Below are 4,867 nucleotides of genomic sequence, written 5' to 3' on the forward strand. Positions count from 1 at the left end.
TGAAGTAGAATAAGACAGGTTGCACAACATGGCAATTTGAAAGTTAGTCATCATCTCAATGCAAGCAGATGGGAGAGACCAAGGTGCCTTGCACTTGACCCTACTAGGAGATTTAATCTCATTGCAATGGAAGAAGATGGCTCTCATCTGAATTGTCTGCTTCTATACTTGATGGTACTCTGTGTGCTGAGAACCTGTTTCTTGCCAAGTGCTCTGTGGCTCTAAGGGCTGGAGATTCTTTGATTTCAAAATTTCCTAAGTCCAGTGCTTCTGGTTGAGGTTGGCTGCTTTCCATAGCATCTAGGAACTACATTCCCATGGACAATCACCATTTATCCATCCAGCCATCCATCCAGCCACTTATCTAACAAATACTAACAGAATACGGCACATGGCGCTCATTCTAGGAGCTCAAAAAATTGCTGTAGACAAGGATGGACAAGATCCTTGCCCTTGTGTGCTGACTTTCAGTTATTTAGAGCCTCTATAGATACATGTTTGAATGTCACGAAGTAATTTATCAGGGTTGCCTAGGTTAAAAACTGATTGAGGTGGAGAAGATATGGTGGCAAGAGAAGAACTCTTCGGGGAGGTGGCATTTTATCTGGGACAGAAGGTTGAGGATTCAGCTATGAGGAAAGTATGAGAGAGTATATTCCAGGTGACGGGGACCACAAGAACAAAGCCCTGGAATCAGAAGGAGCTTGATGTGTTTGAGAAACAAAATAAAGGCCACTGTGGCTGAATTTTGGTCACATGAGATGAGGTAGAGGAGGAGATTTGGGACAGGTCTTTTAGGACCAAACAGATCTTGGTAAGAAATTTGGATTTTATTCTCATTTGAATGAGAAGTCATCTCATTTGAATGAGAGGGTTTTAAGCAGGAAAGTGACTTAACAGAATGTGTATTTTAAAAAGATGATTCTGGATGCACTGTGGAGAATGGAAGACAGGAGGATATGGATGAAAACTGAGGACTGTTTTAGACTTTCAGGGCGAGGCAACAGTGGCCTGAATGCCTATGGTGGTGATAGAGATGGAGGGATGTGGAATAATTTGAGATGCCATGACACTGTTTTTCCAATTATTTTTTTGCCAAATCTGCCATTACTGCACCTTTGGGATGGAAGTCACTCAGTGTGGTGTTTCCTTCAGTGAATCCCGTCTAGTATTCCCTGGGTCCACTCTGGAAGGAGATATTGGTCTGCCATGCTTTTGGGAACCAGATAGCTTGCTTGGGGCTACAGCATAGCTGGAGGACACTTCCTCATTACCTACAAATTGTCCTCAGTACTTAGAAACTGTCACATCAGGCCAACCACTTGGATCTTTCCCAGCTCTAATCAGACCCTGCCCCCCTCCATCTCCTGGTTCTATTTTCACTACTTGACCACACTCTTGGGGAGTCCACCCCAGAGGCCTTACTGCCTAAGACAAGATAATTTCCCTTTTCCCAGTTCTAGAAAAATGTGTGGGATTGGTCCATAGTAGACTGACCTATTTAACATGCACGCTCCAGAACCAGCCACAAGGGTCAGGGGAATGGCACAGCTGTTGTCTTGAGTCAGCTGTCAACTGCTCAAGCTGGTGTGTACAGGAAGGAGCTGGGCACCAGACCCACGTTGTCTGAGACCAACAGGAGGATGATTCTTCAAGGCAAATTGAGATGCTGGCAGCAGCAGAAGGGAGAATAGATGGCCGGAAGGCAATCACAATGAGATCTCTGAAGTATCTTTCAAGCTGTGGCTCCCAAGCTCTCTCTTCCAGGAACCATTCTATATCTAGTCTGCCTTGGAGAACCAGCTTCATCATACAGTGGACTTTCTCGTCAAGGGGAAATGCAGACAAATCTTGTCAGTGACCAGGTCCGATCTTTCAGGGAAGTCTTGCAAGAGCCTAACCCATGGTCTACAGGTTTCTGTGCATGCACTGTGAACAAGCTCCCACTGGTAAAGACCGCACCCAGTGTTGCTGTTTCAAAAAGTTCCAGGAAGAATCTCAGCCCTGGAAAACAAAAATGAGTTTGACCCAGAGATGCCTGAGTTGGAGATGAACTTTGAAGAACTACCCTTGTTAGCATACTGAAATCTCCACCCAGGGAGGAGCTCATGCACCGTTTTCTGTACATGTGAGGTATGTGGAACATGATCAGTGATGGGCTTTAATCCATCTCCACATTCAATGACTCAGCTCAATAAAAGCCAGGCTTTCACCTTTGTTCTGGGAGGCACTGCTTGGGAACTATCCCTGATGTCCTCCTTACTTGCTGCAAGGCATCAAATCCCCCTGTTATACCTGCCTTGGCTGTCGTCATTGGACGTCACCTGCCAAGCCATTGAACCCACCTGTCATGTGGGTAACAAAATGAGAAACAAACAATAGGTCTGATTGTCTGACTGATCATCTGAAGACATGGTATGAAGATATTTATTCAACACATAATTTTAGGTGTATACCCTGGACCTGGAGCTGTGCAAAGTGTGTGAGACCCAAAGGTCCTTCACACTCACGTGACCTCAGAAAGAGCCCATGCCTGCCTCATGGACAGAGCACAGCACAGGCACAGACGGGCGCTCAGTGGAAGTTGTGAGTAAATAAATGACAGCTTAGCACACGCGTCGGTCTGAAAGAGGCAGTGAAGTTAAGTGATGGATAGAAATCGCTGTTCTCAGAGCCCTCAGAAACGCTCTTCTCACAGCCATGCCTCCAATCAGTCACTGTAGGCTCCTTCTGCCTACAGAAATGAAGCCTGGTTTCTTCACCTGGGAACACACCCCAGATGGAGGTCCCTTGGCATCACTGGTATGAGGCCCCCTGCCCAGTGTAGCTCCCTGGTTTGTCCAAATCCTGCTCACTTTTTAAGACTCAGCTGCAGGAAGCCTCGTTCCCTGCACCAAGTTCCACTGTGTCGCCTCCTGCCTGTGCACTTCCACTACGTGCGCTCCTGCCTGGGCCTCCTGCCTTGTGTTCCTGCTGACACCCCCTGTCACTCTCCCTGCCACCTGCATTACGGAGGACCCAGTGCTCACCTGCCTCTCACTCAGGATCTCAAGCACTTGAGAGCAGAGGCTGGCCTCCTGCAGCCCTGGCCAAGACCCTCCCACCGAAGACACAGACGATGCTCTCACCAGGTCCCCACTGGGCTTGATTGCTTTATTTTACTCTTAGAAACAGTGTTTCCTTTAAAATGCCCAAATTGGGCCAGGCGTGGTGGCTCACGCCTGTAATCCCAGCACTTTGGCAGGCCAAGGCGGGCGGATCACGAGGTCAGGAGATCGAGACCATCCTGGCTAACATGGTGAAACCCCGTCTCTACTAAAAACACAAAAAATTAGCCGGGTGTGGTGGCGGGCGCCTGTAGTCCCAGCTACTCGGAAGGCTGAGGCAGGAGAAAGGCGTGAACCTGGGAGGCGGAGCTTGCAGTGAGCCGAGTTGGCGCCACTGCACTCCACCTAGGCGAGAGTGTAAGACTCCGTCTCAATAAAAAAGCCCAAATTGTGTCAGTTGATGCAGTCTTTCAAATGCTATTATGCTGAATATTTGGTAGCAGCAAATACTCAGGCTCTAATCTGAAAAGACATCATTATCATGAATGCCTGTTCTTAATCAGTATGGACTGGGGCAAATGGCTCTGCAGAGTTTTCTGGATTTTAGGGTTAAGCTCCTGGTCTGCTGGGGAGAGGATGGGGCCAAGGAGAGGGTGAAAAAGAGTCCAGCTATGCTTCAATGAGTCACTTCAATGTTATTTGGTTCATTGAGGTTTTATTGGGGAAATACTTATCATCAACAGCCAGAGAGACTTTTGGAAAAAACATGCAAGTGATTGATGAATTTTCAAAAAGAAAAAAAAAAGAGTATGATGAAGAAAATGACACCAGGATGTGCATCCTTGCTGGCAGGAGGTCTAGGGTTTCAACTCACACACCAGATCTTACTGATTGAAAATGGCAAATATGCCAGGCGCGGTGTCTCACGCCTGTAATCTCAGCACTTTGGGAGGCTGAGGCAGGTGGATCACTTGAGGTCAGGAGTTTGAGACCAGCCTGGCCAACATGGTGAAACCCTGTCTCTACTAATAATAAAAAAATTAGCCAAGCATGGTGGCCCCTGCCTGTAATCCCAGCTACTTGGGAGGCTGAGGCAGGAAAATCACCTGAACCTGGGAGGCAGAGGTTCCAGTGAGCAGAGATCGCACCACTGCACTCCAGCCTGGGCTACAGAGCTGGATTCTGTCTCAAAGAAACAAAACAAAACAACAACAACAAAAAAAACAAAAGAAAGCAGCAAACAAATATTCCATGACTGACTAGTGATGTCTGCCATGGTTGTGGAATAGACAAATGAAGACAAAAAGAAATTCAACTACATCATTAAACAACAAAGAGTATTAATCCATCAAAAAAGCCTATGAGAAAAAAAAAGCCTTCACTTATAAATTCTTCTCTAAAACAAAGTATGTTTTATGTTGGAGAGCGGCACATGGTTTCTATTGAGGTTGCTCAGATGAAGAGAGAATTCTGAAGCTGCTGGTAGCCATCTTGTCACCAAGAGGCAAGAAGCTAGCTGAAAGTGAAGACAAATCAAGGAAATCAGAGCCAAGAGACAGAGAGAGACTAATTTCTAATGATGTCCTTTCCAAACCTGGACCTAGCTATCCTCTTGGTCAAAAAGATCTACCCTTGGTCTTTAGTTACATAAGCTTATTTTTTCTCTGTTTACTTAAACTAATATGAATTGGGTTTACGTTATTTGCTACCCAAAGAATCCTAATAGATTTATTAAAAGAGCCGAGAGGGAAATATCTTGTAGGAAGATCACTTAATTTCTTTTGAATTTGAGTGGTCTTATCTGTCAGTGGAAAATAATG

At 46.0% G+C, this 4,867-nt stretch overlaps 1 annotated feature.

The window, feature by feature from the left end:
- Positions 2,836 to 3,336: an enhancer, noted in NCBI's record as "H3K4me1 hESC enhancer chr19:29424848-29425348 (GRCh37/hg19 assembly coordinates)". NCBI's record gives its function as "activates a minimal SCP1, AML or CMV promoter by ChIP-STARR-seq in primed H9 embryonic stem cells {active_cell/tissue: H9 hESC(primed)}" and the evidence as "EXISTENCE:reporter gene assay evidence [ECO:0000049][PMID:30033119]".

The sequence above is a fragment of the Homo sapiens genome, chromosome 19, assembly GCF_000001405.40.
Source record: "Homo sapiens chromosome 19, GRCh38.p14 Primary Assembly".
Lineage (NCBI taxonomy): Eukaryota > Metazoa > Chordata > Mammalia > Primates > Hominidae > Homo > Homo sapiens.